The sequence below is a fragment of the Homo sapiens genome, chromosome 14, assembly GCF_000001405.40.
Source record: "Homo sapiens chromosome 14, GRCh38.p14 Primary Assembly".
NCBI classification, from domain to species: domain Eukaryota; kingdom Metazoa; phylum Chordata; class Mammalia; order Primates; family Hominidae; genus Homo; species Homo sapiens.
In genome coordinates this window covers 32,648,670-32,665,757 of record NC_000014.9, presented here as the reverse complement: position 1 = coordinate 32,665,757, position 17,088 = coordinate 32,648,670, and the positions used below count along the sequence as shown (strand labels likewise).

General features: G+C 37.5%; 1 protein-coding gene and 1 long non-coding RNA gene across 15 annotated transcripts in view, besides 1 other annotated feature; one reads left to right on the top strand and one right to left on the bottom strand.

Annotated features, from left to right (window-relative positions):
- AKAP6 (A-kinase anchoring protein 6) overlaps window positions 1–17,088 on the bottom strand; it is a 508,387-nt gene that overhangs the window by 171,927 nt on the left and 319,372 nt on the right. The window lies entirely within an intron of this gene.
- On the top strand, window positions 5,253–9,241 carry LOC124903298 (uncharacterized). The gene is made up of 3 exons (XR_007064109.1): window positions 5,253–5,341; window positions 5,873–5,909; window positions 9,153–9,241. It is a non-coding gene; the product is annotated as an uncharacterized LOC124903298 (long non-coding RNA).
- Window positions 8,381–8,450: an enhancer, noted in NCBI's record as "active region_8241". NCBI's record gives its function as "activates an Ori minimal core promoter by ATAC-STARR-seq in GM12878 lymphoblastoid cells {active_cell/tissue: GM12878}" and the evidence as "EXISTENCE:reporter gene assay evidence [ECO:0000049][PMID:35858748]".

Here is a 17,088-nt window from a genome sequence, read left to right as displayed (position 1 = left end):
ATAATGCTGGGTGTGTTAGGCCTCAGGGGCAGCCTCTGACTTTCTGCTCTGCTTTCACCTGCCCTAAAGCAGGACTCTAATGTTCGCCTGCCTTTCTGATTGTGAGTCTTAAGACTCTCCCATGAGAGGGTCCCACCCTATACTGTGGGGGAATGAATGCTGACATCATGAAGATTCCATAAAACCCCAAGAGGACAGAGTTCAGTGAATTTCCAGATAGCTGAACACATGGAGGTTACTGGAGGGTGACACGCCCAGGAAGGGCATGGGAGCCCTGTGCCCCTTACCCTATTTCTCGCCCTATGCATCTCTTCATCTGTATCCTTTACAATATCCTTTATAATAAATCAGTAAATGTAAATAAGTGTTTCCCGGAGCTCTGTGAGCTGCTCCAGCATATTAATCCAACCCAAAGAAGGGGTCATGGGAACCCCAACTTGAAGCCAAAAGTTTGGCACTTTGATTAGAATTTCTGGAGGGCCGAACTTTCGACTGGTGTGTTGGGGGTTGGGGGAAGTCTTGGGGACTGAGCCATCAATCTGTGGGATATGACACTGTCTCTGGGTAGATAATGTTGGAACTGAATTAGAGGCCTCTCAGTTGGTGTCCACTGCTTGGTGTATGGGGAGAACTCTCCCCACCCCCAAATATGGTCACAGAAGTCTTCTGTATTGATGATTATTGTGGTGTGAGAGTAGAGGAAAATCACAGTTCAAGTTTTCTCTACACATATCTTAACACAGAACATCTCCAAGTACATGAATTTCAATATTCTTCACTTAAAGATTGAAATGCATTAATCTACAAGACACTTTTAAGAAAAGCTATGGGTGGAAATCTATTTGCACAGCAGGGGTGAGTAGAGCATGAAAAAGTACCTCCAAGTCTTGAGTGTTTACCTCTCTTATCTATGCCTGAGACTCATCCTGGTCCAGTTCCTAGGGGTCTGGATCTCAGACAGGAGTAGACCATGTGAAGCTGAGACTTCCTATGGGGCCCTAATTTGCACAGTCAGAGAAGATCACAGAGCTTCAGAAGCTGGTGTATGCATGTCAGCTGGAGAGAAGACCCAATAAAGGAACACAGCGTGAACGGAATAAAGGCAGAATGGAAGAGGAAGGTGAAAAGAGCATGCGTGTATGATGAATGTGAATAACAATTATCACAAATATACCCATAGAACCCAAAAAGGAATGTTCTTAAACAAAATTGTGACTTAAAATTCTTTTGTAGGCTGACACTGCAGTAATATTTTCAAAAGTAAAACTCTAGAACCTAAATTAAAACTCAAAAAACATAACCAATATTCTTCAGTTTTCTCTACAAGTTCATCACATGTTAAAGGAAGCTACAGTATTTTCTGGTAGATCTGTGACAAAGCCACACACAAGCACACACACAAGCATGCACACACATACACACAACTCTACAACAATGATTCCCATGAATTTGTATCCTCTTTATCACTGTATAGATTGATCATCACTGCTGCTTAGACCTTGTAAAGCTTGACTTATTGCTTAGCTGTTCCTGAAAATTCTCACTACCTCTTTGCTATTATATTCAGAGGAGACTTAAAAAATACAAATATACATTTTTTTTCCTCTTCAATGTCATGGTTCCTATCCACTAGGCATATTGATATTCTAAGTAAGAGACAGGTTAAGCAAAATGATATCCTCCTGCTTTATCTCACTTTTGCTTATCTCAGTTATTATTTTTTTTCTGCTCCTTCTTTATTTTTGGGCTAGAGTGAAAACTCTTCCAAGCCAAAAGACTAATTATAAAAAGGTTCCATAACATTGATATTGTCCAAAGCAGACACATTTCAACAAAAATTGCTCCATTTATTATACTATTTCCCCCCCTTATGTAGGAAGACAACACAATGGTAGGTATTAGATGCTATGCTCAAAATCTATTTAAAGGAAAGATCTGACCTCAGCCTCAACCAGTGTGTTGCAGACATACCTCTCCTTGGGTATCTGAGTCTTCCAGGACTTGCCTTCTTTGGCCTTTGCTGTCCATCACGCCAGCCTCCTCCCTAGCTGCTCTTGCCTTTGCCCACACACAGATTCTCAGGTTCTTTCCATTTTAATTCCTTGAATGAACCTAGCTCCTTCCCACCTTGGACACGTTGTTTCTTCTGCCTGGAATTCTCCTCCTATCTTCTTCATGTGGCTAGCACCTATATATGCTTTAAGTTTCAGTTTAAGTGTTACTTCCCATGGTGATCTGTCCCTCTAATATAAAACATATCTCTCTTCACCTTATAGTACACAGGACTCCTCTGTCCTATTAGATTTTAGGCTCCCCAAGAGTATGATATGAACCAGATTTCTTTTGACATCACCCACAGATTCCTGACCCACAGCAGACACTCAATAAGTATGTACTGAAAGAATGAGTGAGGCAAGCAGGGGGTCTGATATGGCTTATTTCCATCTAGGAAGAGCTGAAGATACTATTTTTAAAATCCTTTTAAAAGGGAAGGCAGGGAAAGTATAAGGTGAGCCTGGGATATCTTCTTGTACTAGAAAACAAAGAAGCATTCCTTGACTAATAGGGATCTGTCAAAAGGACACAAGTGTCATATGAAGAGGCTCCCTTTTGGCAAATGTGGGAAATATAAGCACTAAAAAAGAAGAATTATTGTAATTGATTGTTGTATATTGAACAAATAAAAATCAATTAGCCTATAATTATACTGAAAAGAGAAAAAAACATGCCGCCATTGAGGGTGACAATTACACTAACTTCTTACCACCAAAATTGGTAAATAACGAGAAAAGCATTTCACTTACTTTTTAAAAGAGGAACTATAGCTCATCTGATGTTGGTAAGAGAAAGTCTACAGGAAAAAATGCCAAGTAAAAATGTGGGAGAAATAATAGAATTAGGATACCATCATTTTACCACCCCTAAAGAAAGAATTGATTCTAGCAAGAATCATCAATGTATTCTAAAACTCTTAAGCAAATATCTGACGGAAAACAGAACATTCACAGAATGCCCAAGCATTATCCTACAGATTACCTGCTAATTATAAAGAAAATCTCATCTATAGAAAGAGGTACTGTGTCTGGCCATCACCACATTAGCATCACAAACAGTGGATAGCCTGGCATAATGGGATGCCATTTGAAGTACACATGCCAAAAATGTTTAATCTGAATCCAAACAAGCCTCTGGACCACATTTCTAGTTTGTAGGGAATAGTGAATAGAGGAAAAAGTTAAGAGACACACCACGAGGAGACAATCAGACAAATCTAGAACATGAAACATTCTGATGATTCATCTGGTTTCTTCAGATTGGTATTTAACAACTGCTAGGACCTCAGTTTGAGTGAGGTTCTGAGATAGAATGAAATGTGTCAGAATAAAAGACAACAGTGAGAAATGAAGTCATGTTTTATATTGGCAATCTGCTACTTCACAGCTTGAGAGTCAGTCCTAAGAGAGAAGTGTATTTTTTTAAAATGACAAACATTCTACTGTTAGTCAGAATCCCATGCCCAAAATGAACCTCTCTGCCATTTTACAGGATATTTAAAGAGAACTATAAAATTTTATATTTTACATAATTATTTATATTTTATAGTTTCATTCCAAATAATCTATTATACTATGAAAGAAGTATTGATTTTGTCCTTTTATTTGCAAGAGTATGCAAATTAACAGATTCATTGGCTGTGGTAATCCTGGGTTCACCTACTTCAGTTCACTGTTCACTAGGTACCTAGATAAATGCTTAAATCATCATTGAGAGTCATATTCTGCTTGATCAGGAATCACTTGGTAATAGGATATTGATACTTTGATAATAACATTCATACTTTCATAACTTGTGATTTCATGTATATTATCTCATTTGATAATCCCAACAACCTTGTGCTATGCACAGGTAGATCAGGTGTCATTATCCCCATTTAGCAGATGCAGAAGCCAGAGGTCAAATAAATTACTTTGTCCAAAGTCACATAGATAATGAGAAGAAGAACCAGGGGTTTCTGGCTCCAACTCCAGTGCTTTTCTACTCACCATCCTAGGTATTGCCTCTAACCAGTAGTCCTGAAACCATGATTTCCAGTCTCTAGCTAGTCCCTGACTGAGGCTGCCAGCACAGACATGGACAACTAAAAGAGCCGGGGTATGGCATCAAGTCTACTGAGTAAGGTATGTACTTGGGTCACTTTCTGCAAGGCCCAATGTACTTGTCTTATGAGTCTTGGACTTAATCGAAACTCTCTGCTCCCACTGCCTCCAGGAATGACACTGATTCTGCACCTTTGGCAGTGTGCACAATCGTGCATTCCTTGTCTGCACACTCTGATTACCGTGCCCTGTTATAGCTTACCATGCAACCGCTTTGTCACTCCTTCCCTTTAAATATCCAGGGTGTGGTAAGCAATGAAGCCTCATTGTGAGAATTTTTCCTTTCCAATTCTGATTGCTAGTTCCCAATCAGCAGCAGGATTTATTATTATACAATTATCACGATTTACTGATATGTAGGATTTATAGGAGGTCCTGTAGTAATTTAGAAATTTAGGGCTGGAGTTGCAGCACATGTTGAGCCCTTGGCTTCTCTGCATTTTGACTTCCTACTATTCCTTTCTGGAGACACTATCCCTGTTCCTTCTGACCTCCTTTCTACCTATTTGTCACTATTTCTCTACATTTCCCAAAATGAAATGTTACTCTCCCAGTGCTGAGTCTTGAAAGATAGAGAGGTCATGAAAAGTTAGGTGATCCTTGTGAGAAAGCAGGAGAGGGAGCAATGAGATATAGACACACAAGGACAAATGGCTGGAATTGGGAGGGGGGGGGGTGGCGGGGAAGAAAATATATAGAGCTAGAAATAGCCAAAAAGCTTTTTAAATTTTATCTAGGTCCCAGAAAAGCCATAAGATAGTAAATTAAGAAACAGGAATGGTGAATTGAGTTGTTAAATACTCCACTTCCCTCACCCCAGTTTAATTAGCATTTCCATATTCTCTGTGAACATCTAACCTTTCCATATACTCTCAGAATCTCACGTTTTAAATAGTATTCATGAATCGAATATCTACCTAAAGTAGATTCCAGGTCCAGATAGGCCTCACAAACTCCTTTAAAAAGTTTGTTCTTATTTAGAACCTGGGGGGAAACAAATGAATGTTCCATAATTCATTTGGCCAGGCTCTAAAGTCACTTCTTTTCAGAATTCCCTCAAATTCCTGAACTAGAATTTATTGCTCTGACGAACTTCTTCCTCCCACCAACCAACACATTGAAGTTTCTTTCCAGGCTTTTTGAGTGATTGCCCACAATTAGGAACAACCCAGCATACCCATTAGGTTGTCACTTCCTACCAGATGTTGTCCAGCTGTTCTCAATTTCTTTTTGCTAATGCTCTGCCATCTGCTACCTTAATGGTGGCACAATGGGGAAAGGCTGCTTTGGTGACTTTGCTCTTCAAGTTATAAAGACCTGGCCCATTGCCTCATCCTGGAAAGTCTGATATGCACATCTGTCACATTCCTCCAACTGGTTGTTGCATTTATTCCATCTACTAACTAGCCAATGTTAAACCGGTGTGACATGAAATATGTGAGCTCTCACTACCAAATCTAAACCTGCATCACTCTTCATTAATGGACACATTCACGTCTTATTTCCAGCTATCATAGGTTCTGCCATTAAGACAACAGCTAACATCTTCTTGTCCAATCAATACGATTCCCTTTTACCTTTCTTTATATATATATTTTTTTTAACCAGCATGCCAATAGCACATCAGTACAGTAAGCAGTTATGTGTCTTTTGTGTCACCTTGTCGGTTACACCTTATACATGGAAATCTTATGTTTGTTTGTTATTCTCTACAGCTGAATGAAGACAAATCTTAGCCCTCTGAGACTGATGGTAAGTTATCAGAGTCAAAGTCTGCCAAGGCACAGCAGTTATCAATGCAGATTTCCAGGGACTGTAAATCAGTGTGTAATCTATTTGTATATACTTATTGAGGAGATTATTGCTCCCTTCAATTATGGAAACTATTTTTCTGAAACCATCATTATGCTAGATGTCGAAAAGGTTAGTACCATTAGCTCATAATCCCTTCCAAAGGCCCAGTGGGAATGGTTGTTATTGGGACTTTGGCAAACATAAAAATAAGTTCAGGAAAACTGATATCCATACTAATTACAATGTACTTGTCTCCAGTAATCTATATTTTTAATTAATTATTTTAAGATTTGAGCTGTCACCACGTGATGACTCCATGTCTTATCTTCCGAAATAACACCAACCCTTGATGGCTCTCTTAGATGGACAGCTTGTTTAAAGTATTTGTGCTTATGGTCACAAGGCAGATCTGCTTGCAGTACAGTCAGAATACAAATCTAGGACCAAAAGAGGATGTTAACATCATCCCTGACAGCACAAACACATGTTCTTTGGTTTCATAACACTATTTTTACTTGAACAGGTAACTTCTTCCCCATTCCAGCTTAGATTTAACAGAAATTAATGAAAACGCCAATCTTTTATTTGAAAAGCAATAAGATCTCAAACAGCAGCTTCATGTTTTACTTGGAGCAGCCATGAATGTAGCAACAGCGGAATCATCGTGTGCTAAAAGTTCACTCATATCCACTTTAGTCAATAAATGTACTTACTGGTTTTACAGACATTTAAAGAGTGTCTTCAACTTACAAAACATGCTAGTGTCTTGTCAAATGTGCTTGTCTTTGTAAGTGATAAAGACAAGGTGCTTCTAGTTAGCAAAGGACACAAATTCTAACAACTAACTATAATACAAAACAGAATAATATAAAATAAATAAGAACAACAAACTGAAGCTCTGGTAGTTGGTTGAGAATTGGAAAATACTTAATGGAAGAAGTGGTGTTTTCACTGGGTCTTGGTGAGTAAACAGAATTTTGGCCAGTAAACAAGAAAGAAATATAGTTAGGCTTTTTTTTTTTTTTTAAAGAAGACTTTAAAAATGAACCTACCAAACTCCACTGTGCTTCATATAATCACTGATATTTTGCACCCCTAAGAGTGTTATTTAAGTTTTCAATGCAGTTAATTGAAACCCTACTAGATGCAAATCAAAAGTTTCAGCCTTAATTGAGATATTTTGAAAATTGAACCCATTGCTTCAGGCAGGTGCTACATGAGATTCCATTAATATAGGTAATTAACATTAGCCTCTGCTTTAATTAACATGCATACTTTAATTAGCAAAGCATTAACCAACATTAAAAAATCTGATCTTCATGCATCACAAAAAACTGCAAAGTTATGACTACTATGTTATTTTTCTCCAAGGTTGTAAATCACAAAACAGTGATCACTTCTGAAGTACACATCAAATTTAGAATATTAAACAGGGAGATATGTACAATATGAGTGAAAACATCATTAAAATAAAAAAGGATGCTCTTTAGAAATTATAGAGCCAACAGCTTTCACATTTTAAACAGGAGTTACATTGTAATCTCTCAATGATCATTTGCAAGGCAGGAGACTTTTGGCTTGAAAAATCCCCATAGACTGTCGTCTTCCTTATATGTAATAAATCAATCACTATATAGAGTAGCATTATCTATGTGACCATCTACCTCCTAACCTCTTCTTATCTTTCTCAGGGATCAAAGAAAGCACCAGTTTCTGAAGACATTTAATACCTGAGGTCTCAGACTAGCACAAACTTCATTTTTAAAACAATCTACGTTGCCTTGTTTTATGTTTAAGATCCAAATGTGCTAGACTAGTTCTTTATTGTCAATCTACCATGTGTGCGACCACCAACAATTAAGGATGACTTTTGTTAAATATAAAATTGGCATTCATGTTCTTTCCTTACTATGATAATTAGATGTGCCAACTTTCAAATCCTGCTCATATGCTGTATAGATTTTTTTTATTACTTTAATGAAAACAGCATCATCATTATATGGAATAGAAGTACTGTAGAAATGGTATCCATGTAGCAGATCATTGTATTCTTTTATCCCAAGACATGATAAAATTATGGTAAAAAAAAAAATGGTGAGCTTTTAAAAACATGTACACTCACAGAAAAAGTAATCATATCCTTCCTGATTAAGCATTAAGAAAAACAATCATAATACTGCAGATAGATCAAAATTAAAAACAACAAAGTCTCTAGTAAGCCCGTGCTGGATATAAGGCAATATTTAGACACAGAGAAATCTGAAAGACCATGACAAAAAGTGTCCTGGATCTCATGAGCTTTCGTTTAAATCTAAACTGAAAATCTCAAAAATTAGGTCCATTGTGGTAAATGTTGGTGTAATGAGAGAAAAAGAGCTAGGGAGCAGCACTCACAGATTTGTAGGCTCATTTGCTGCTTTAAGCTGTTACTAACATTGGAATTGCTTCCATTGACTCTACCGAGGGTTGCGCTTCTCTCTTCTTGTTCCTGCCACGGGTTATTTCATCACAGCCACTACAGGGTCAGCATGAGTCAGCATCTTCTCTGTACTCCTTTTCAACTAACAAATGGGGAAATGAATGTTTCTTGGGTTTGCAAAGCCATACCCCAAGTTACAGTGATTTTCTTGACCTTTTTCCCTATGTCAAATCAGAGCCAGGGCTCCCAGGAGATCATGCAGGATCTGGCCATTCTTCTGGATCTGCGCTGAGGGCAGTACCCTGTAAATAGGTGCAAGGACACCTCTCAGTTCTGTTTACGTGAATTTGTGGAGTCTTTATCAAATTCTTCCCCTATTCTATAAACTGTATTATGACAAAATTCCATATATTGGATTGCCATATGTCAGTACTATTTATGCTCTGCTAATTAAATTCAGTTGGGCTTTCACTCAGGAAAGGTATAAGCAGGATAAACAGAGAGAAGCATATTTACAGCCAGGGCTTTAAGAAGCATAGAACCCTGCTTTATAAACATGTGACAAACCCTCACGAACTTCCTTGTAGGTTTTAAGTTCATAGGGCCTTCCTTAGAGAAGTCCTTCAGAGATGTAGGAGTGGAACAATAGCATCAACTACTGAGCCATTTACTTAACTGGGTATAAACACAGGCATTTACTTAACTGTCAATAATATTTAAAACAATTGCCTATGAGCGAAAGATTGCTCTACACTAAACGTATGTATTCCCCTTCATTCTAGGTCTCAGAAAGTAGTCTTCAGATTACCAGCTTCAGAATCAGCTGGTGGGTTCACTAAAATGCAGATTCCCAGGCCCAGTGAGGACTGAATAAATCTTAGTTTCCCAGGTGAGTCAGTTTTGGCTGGCACTCCCAGGTGATGCTTATTCAGAGTAAATCTGGAGAACTGCTAAGAAGGAGAGAAACCACTGTCTTCTATTTCTCATACTACAGGCAGTGGTCATGAAAGTGAGCAAAATACTCTGTACCTAATCTCATAACTTCTTTGTAGATCACTGTGGGAGAAGAAAATAGGTTTTGTTGGGACACAGCTTTCATTAAATAGAGTCACCTTTGATAATTAACTAAATTTGATGGGCAGATAATAAAAGTCACATAAAACAGAAAGATTTATGTTTATGTTTAATATATCTTTATAGTCATACACGCTATAAATATTGCTTCATGAGTGCATTTTAAGCATGAGATTTTTCCAAACACATTTATTTAAAAAAATCCAAATTAGTTCTGTTGGTATTCTACTTTTAATACTTACTTTATCACTAGATGGCTAGATTTTTATTATGTTTCATGTCAACCAACTCTGACTTTCACTGAAATATCTAGACGAGAGATATTTATCTTGAGAAAAACAGATAGATTTATCTTAAGAGAGACAGATCTAACATACATTGACTTTCTTTAGATTTCTGATTATATTCTATAACATGATCACCATAAATCTGGGACAATATGGTCCATGCAACCTACCTAGACAAAAAAGTTAGATTGGTAAAAAACGCTTTCCCCAGTCTGACCCTAATCTCCTTTTAAAATTTTATCTCTCATTACTTTCTACATAACCATCTTCCCCAGGCAATTTGTCTATTTATCACCAGCTCCCAAATAGAAAGGCTTCCTGACCCTGAGTTTTTGCAAATATTTCTTCTGCATGAAACGCTTTCTCTAATCTGCTCTCTTACTTCGATGAAACCAAAAAGTCCTCTAAGGGCCAACACGAACAACTCTTTCATTTCCCCAATTCTATGTCTCTATTCATCCACTATGTATCACTGACCACCTTGCATTGGCAGAGATCTATCTGCTAGTCTTAGCTTCCCAACTAAATTATGAGCTTCTTAAAGTTAAGGACTTCCCAATATATTTAGGACCCTGCCTGACACATCAGAGTTACTTGAAAACTTGACCTCAACATTTAAAAAGATTTACTAAGAGATTCAATAATAAATTGTTCAAATATACCATATGGTTTAACACTTAGTATCAGTTACAGTTAACATCTTGCATCTACGCTCTAGTGGAGAAATCACATCCAGTTTCACACAGTTTACTGGAGACATCAAGGTATAAGGAAAATAAAAGAATGTTAATGACTAGGTAAGTAGGGCCTTCATACCTTAACTGAAATAAAATTCATTTCTGTGGTGATACAGTCATTCTTTGGTACAGTCAATTGTTTCCTAATCTGCTGCATATTCACTCGTCTCCTGATAGTCAATATTTTTACTTCATTAATCAATTTTACTCATTAATATCTTATTCCTATTTGACGAATTTTTCTGAAAACAACTTCTCAGTTGTGATTTCCTCATGAAAATATTTTACCACCCAAAAATTGTGTAATAAACAAGATTGTGGTTGCAAATTCTGCAAACATTATTTTGTGACTTTATAGAAGTCCTTAAAGCATGATTTTTTTGTATCCTTTATATATTGTGTAAAAATAGCTCCTTCATAATACTTTTTTTTTTTATTCCTGAGACAGGGTCTCGCCCTGTCACCCAGACTGGAGTGCAGTGGTGCAAACACAGATCACTATAGCCTCGATATTCCAGGCTCAAGCTATCCTGCCGCCTCAGCCTCCTGAGTAGCTGGGACCACAAGCATGTGCCACCATGCCCAGCTAATTTTTTTTTTTTTTTTCAGTAGAGACAAGGTCTTGCCACGTTGCCAGGCTGGTCTTGAACTCCTGAGTTCAAGCAATCCCCTGCCTCGGCCTCTGAAAGTGCTGGGATTGCAGGCCTGAGCCAGCTGGCTCAGCCCATAATATTTCTAATTGTGTACAAGGTATCTTTTAAAAAGACTATCAGTCTGGTATATTTCACCCTACCTAATTAATTCACAGAATTGTGTGTTTTGTTTTGATTTAATTGGTTTGTTGCATTTGTGATTGGTTTCTTTTCAATACATTTTCTCACAGAGAAGAAAATTTTCATTTTAGTCAATGCCATTTCATTCCACAACAGAACATCCGCTAGGGTAGCCCTCAGGGTATGAGAAATATGCTGTGGGACTGTGTCAGAAAAACAGACCCAGAGTTTCAGTGGTGCAGGCTTCAGAGTCCAATTCTTGTGAAACTAGAGTTTGTAATGGCTTCACATAGCTCCCCCAGCCAGTTGCAAACAACACACCAATATTAAATTGAGTATGACATTTTTTGAAAGAGAAAATTACACAGCAGATATATAGCTGCTAAAAATTATGGGCATTTTATAGGGCAAAGTCTGATTTTTAATAAAGATCTGAAATAATGACTTTAAGTTTGAGCAATTAGTTAAGAGTTTAAGGTACAATGATTTCAAATTAGACTTGTGCGCATGGCAGAAGAACCCAAATGGCCCAAGACATGGGCCATCTGATTTGCTACTATGAGTCTGTATAGGTTTTTAATACGCAGAAACTCAGAAAGTGCCACTCATTCAACTTACATGAATGTGAAATGATGGAAATCAATTACTATGTTTTTCTGTTGAACTCAAATCATGACTATAAATAAAAATGAGGCAATATTTTATTTGCCCTAGTTTTACTAACACAAAGACCAGAGAAAGCAAATGAACGAATACAAACTTATTACTTAATACTTCTCGATTTCATTGTATTCTTCAAGATAATTATTATTATTCCCTTTTTATAGATAAGAAAATTGATGACAAACTGTACTAGGCAATTCTTGCATTGCTATAAATACTTAAGACTGGGTAATTAATAAAGAAAAGAGGATTAATTGGCTCATGGTTCTGCAGGCTTTACAGGAACCATGGTGCTCAGCTTCTAAGGAGGCCTCAGGAAACTTACAATCATGGTGGAAGATGAAGACGGAGCAGGTGTGTCACATGGAGAATGCAGGAGCAAGTGAGAGAGTGAGGGGAGGGGAGGTGTCAAACACTTTTAAATGACCAGATCTCATGAGAACTCACTATCAGAAAGATAGCACCAAGCCATGAGTGAGCCCTCATAATCTAAACACCTCCCACCAGGCCCTGCCTCCAGCATTGGGGATTACAATTCAACATGATATTTGGGTGGAGTTCAAATCTGACAAACACATAAATCCAAACTATATCACAACACTTATTAATAAATAAAAGGGAAAGGAGAAAAAATGGCCAAACATGGTAGCTAAATTTTTGATGACAGAATACCTAACTCGAGGCCAAACATATATGCCAACTAATTGAGTGACTCTTCCACACTTTAAATGTTATGACATGCAAAGTTGTCCCTGGCTGTAAATAAGTGGTGGATTTATTTATTTTTATTTTATTTTATTTGAGACAGGGTCTCGCTCTGTCACCCAGGCTGGAGTGTAGTGGCACAATCACAGTTCACTGCAGCCTTGACCTCTTGGCCTCAAGTGACCCTCCCACCTCAGCCTCCTGAGTAGCTGGGACTACAGGAATGTGCCACCATGGCCAGCTAATTTTTAAATTTTTTGTAGAGATGGGGTCTCCCTGTGTTGCCTAGGCTGGTTTCAAACTCCTGGGTTCAAGTATTCCTCCCACCTTGGCCTCCCAAAGTGTTGGGATTATACGCATGAGCCACTGCACCACTCTAATGATGGACATTTTAGAGATGTGCATTCAGAAAGAGGAATGGGAAGAAAATAGCAACTCAGGAGAAAGGTGAGCAAGCCTAGGGGATAGCAGTAGAGCTGTAGCTTGAATGGAGAGTAAAGTCTTCCTGGCTGGAAATGAAAAATTAATCTGGTGTGATGGCTGGCAGTATCTTTAAAGAAAATGCAAAATATATTTGATTTAATCTGATATGATTATAATGGATGGAATTTCCTTGTAAGAAATTTTGTGATTTTATAAAGATCAGAAGGCAAAAGAATGCTTAAAAATAATCCAGCTCCCTGATATTCTGGATTTCTAAGAAAGTGAAGGAAAATTGGGTAAGAGGCAGGTGGAGTAATCTAGACATAAATAGATAAAGGCCTGGGCTCCTAGGCCAGGTGGGGAAATAGAAAAACATAATCAGGCCAAGAGGCCTAGTCGAGGAAGATGCAGCAGTTCTTGGTGGCTGGTGGCTCCCATTTGGGAACAAAAGGGGAGAAGAACAGTGAAAATTATTTTCAGCTTCTATTGCTAAGGAGCCTGGCATGTTGGAAGGATAAAATGACGGAAAAGATGGGAGAAAAGAAAGTGGTAAACTTCATTATTATGGAAACTTTTAGGTGACAACAGTATATAAAACTAGCAGTCTTCTAGAGTCAATTGAGCATGGAACCATAGCATGCAAAGTGGGTGGACACTAAACCGAAGATGTAGATCCGGACACCACTGCCTATAGTGGTAGCTAAAATCATCCCAAATGATAAGATTCCTAAGGGAATATGCATACTATATAAGGAAGAACAGATGGTCTAGAATCCACAGCCAAAGGGTGGCAGGAAAAAGAGTACTCAATAAAAAATGGGCCTAAGATGTAAGGGGACCAAAAGGAAATTGCAATGATTTATTGTTAATAATCTCAACAGTAAGTGGATGTTCTACAATACATAGAGGTACAAGTAATCCACACTATGGTTTGAATGATGGTGTCCCCTTCAAAATTTATGCTGAAACTTACTCCCCAATGCAACAGTATTAAGAAGTGTGGCCTTAGGGAGGTAATTAAGTCATGAGGGCTTAGCATTCTTATATAAAGATTCAAGGTCAAAGGGAGTGTGCTCTTGCTTATCCATTCCTTCTGCCATGTGAGGACACAGAGTTCACCCTCTCTGGAGAATGTAGCCACCAGGCACCATCTTGGAAGTGAAGACTGGACCCTCATCAGACAACAAACCTGCCAGTGCCTTGACCTTGGACTTCACTTCCCAGCTTCCAGACTGTGAGAAAATAAACTTCTGTTCTTTATAAATTACTCAGTCTCAGGTATATTATTATAGTAAAACAAACAATGAATACAACCCTACATAGCATAGCCTAGACTATCCGCAACAATTAGATACTCCATTACCACCATAGTGACAAAGAGCCGGTCAAACAATTTAGAAGAGTGATGAACCTATTAAACCCATGATTCTTGGCTGCCGTGACACTACAATAATCATGAACACCTTGCTTAAAAACTAGAAAGTAGTGGGAATGTGGAGGAGTGAGCAAGGCAGACGTTGCATAGTTTATAATTGTGTCAGTGGGTACCCAAGGTGGGAGCCATTAAAATATATGTTAAAAGGCAAAGAGGCCTGCACAGATTCCTATGACCAGTCAGTATGAGGAGCACCAAATAACCTACACAAGTCCCAAAGCCCTCTGGTTCTTGCAACACAATCTCTAGTTGTCTCTCTGTATTTCAATCAAAGATGGAATAATTGGGTATCATGGATACTTTTTTCCTTCATATGTCTTACCTTACGGCTTAAAAGAAGCAAACTTTACAATCCTCTTTGGTGAGTCACAAGGACATTTATAAAAATCTACATTTATAAAAATATAAAATAGAGTAAATAGAGTTATCAGAACTACCCAGCCTAAACAAGTCTTTTAAACAGGTTTTGTTACTTTCTCAAAGTATTAAAAATCTATGCATAGTCTAGGTAAACGCAAAACAGGGTGAACAATGCCGCTTTCATTATTATTCCACCTCTTGGGGAACCCTGGTCCAGTTAAAACACATTTGAACTGGTCATTGGTTTACTTTTCTTTTTTAGGTGACATGAATTTTGGTAAATTAATGGTATTTAGCATTTATTTTTATTTTTTTATTTTTAAACAGAGTCTCACTCTGTTGCCCACGCTGGAGTACAGTGGCATGATCTTGGCTCACTGCAATCTCCACCTCCCAAGTTCAAGCAGTTCTCCTGCCTCAGCCTCCCAAGTAGCTGGGATTACAGGCATGCCACCACACCCGACTAATTTTTGTACTTTTAGTAGAAATGGAGTTTCACCGTGTTGGTCAGGCTGGTATTGAACTCCTGGCCTCAAGCAATCCGCCCGCCCCAGCCTCCCAAAATGCTGGGATTACAGGTGTGAGACACTGCGCCCGGCTGTATTTAGCATCTAGAAGTCAGAATGCCGCACTGGTATGTCTGAAAGACAAACCGCTATGCGTTATGTTGGGCTTCTTGCATGGTACACAGCTAAGGTGAATTAGGGGGAAGCAGCACAGGTTAAAACTGGATATCCTCATTTGCATGAACCACTACTTTAGTGTTTAGGGAGTTTCATTTTAGAAAGGAAGAACTAGAACCCAAAACAAGTTATCTTTTTTATCTCTGAAATTTATAGCTGTGAGACAAACTCAAATATACAAAATTAAAATAAAAATCCAAACCCTAGATAATTAATTCAACATCTTTATTGGGGAAAGGAAGAACAAGAGCCCTTTTCAGCCTCTGTTTCTAAAAGTGATCTATATAAAATATGAGCAGTGTGTGCTGCCTAGAGAAATCCAGTGTCACCATCAAAGAAAAGGAACTTTCCTCTACAACACAATCTTGTGCCTTCTCGTCATTTGTTAAACTGACTTAAAACCATTTACCAAACCAATTGCAAATCTAGCTTAGTGATCAACCAGCTCTTACTTTTTTATATTATTCTGATGAAATGGAGGTTACTTCAAAAAAGGGGCTATATATAAAATTAACCATAAATTATGTAAAGTGATTTATTATTGCACATTTGTTCCATGTTTGCATCCTAAATTTACAGACTAAAACTTATATTTTATTAATTCATATTTACAAAAAAAGAAACAATTCATAAGATTTGCAGTAAGGAAAAAGATGTCAGTTTAACTTTATAAATAATAAACACAAAATAACAACAAAATTACATTGGAGTTTATTGTAACTTTTCACTTTATGCCTTAGAAATATAAAGAAATTTCTAGAAATTTAATGAAAACTTTGTAGCATAATTAAATGTAAAATAAGTTTTAACATGCATTTCTCCTGCCAATCGGCATACATAATAGGAAAATGGTAGAGAATAGGTTAAACAGTCTAAAAGGATTTTAACCTTAAATTTGACAGAAGTTAAATGGCTGTGACATTGGGTTCTTCTGCTTTATTCCAGCTAGTAATCCACCCTCAAAGTTCCTGTCAGGTAAATGACCTTGTATTTCATTAACTGATAATTAAATGGATTTATTCCACTAACGGTTTTAATTAAAATGCTAGAAATATTGATTACCCCTCTCATCCTTATTCCCCCAGATGAAAAAAAGGTTTTAGGAATGTTTATTTAGAGAAGACAGAGAATTAAATTAGATTGAATCTCTATGAGACCCGAAGACTGGTTCTTTCATTTCTGCTGCTCAAGCAGAAAAAGGTTTCAATTTTTTGATGTTTGATTAATTATTTTGAAATCCATTTATGCTTACCTTGGTGTTTAATTAAAAATGTCATTTTTAGCATAATTAAATTGGCTATCTGTGGAAGACTAACTTCAAACTTATATTTTAAAAATGCAATGTCTTTTTTTTGGTAAAAGAAACTTTTTAGTTATTTGCTTTTTCAGTAGAGGTACCGCCTCATGAATGAAAAACTAAGGAGAGCTAGAGCTTAATTGGATTTCCTACATTTGAATATTAGGCCACATATGCTTATGACTAGTCTAAGTTTATTTGGCTGTGCTCTTTAATCTATTAGTGATTCATTCATCCTAACAAACACAGAGTATGCTTTTCCAAATGTGTTGGATTTCATA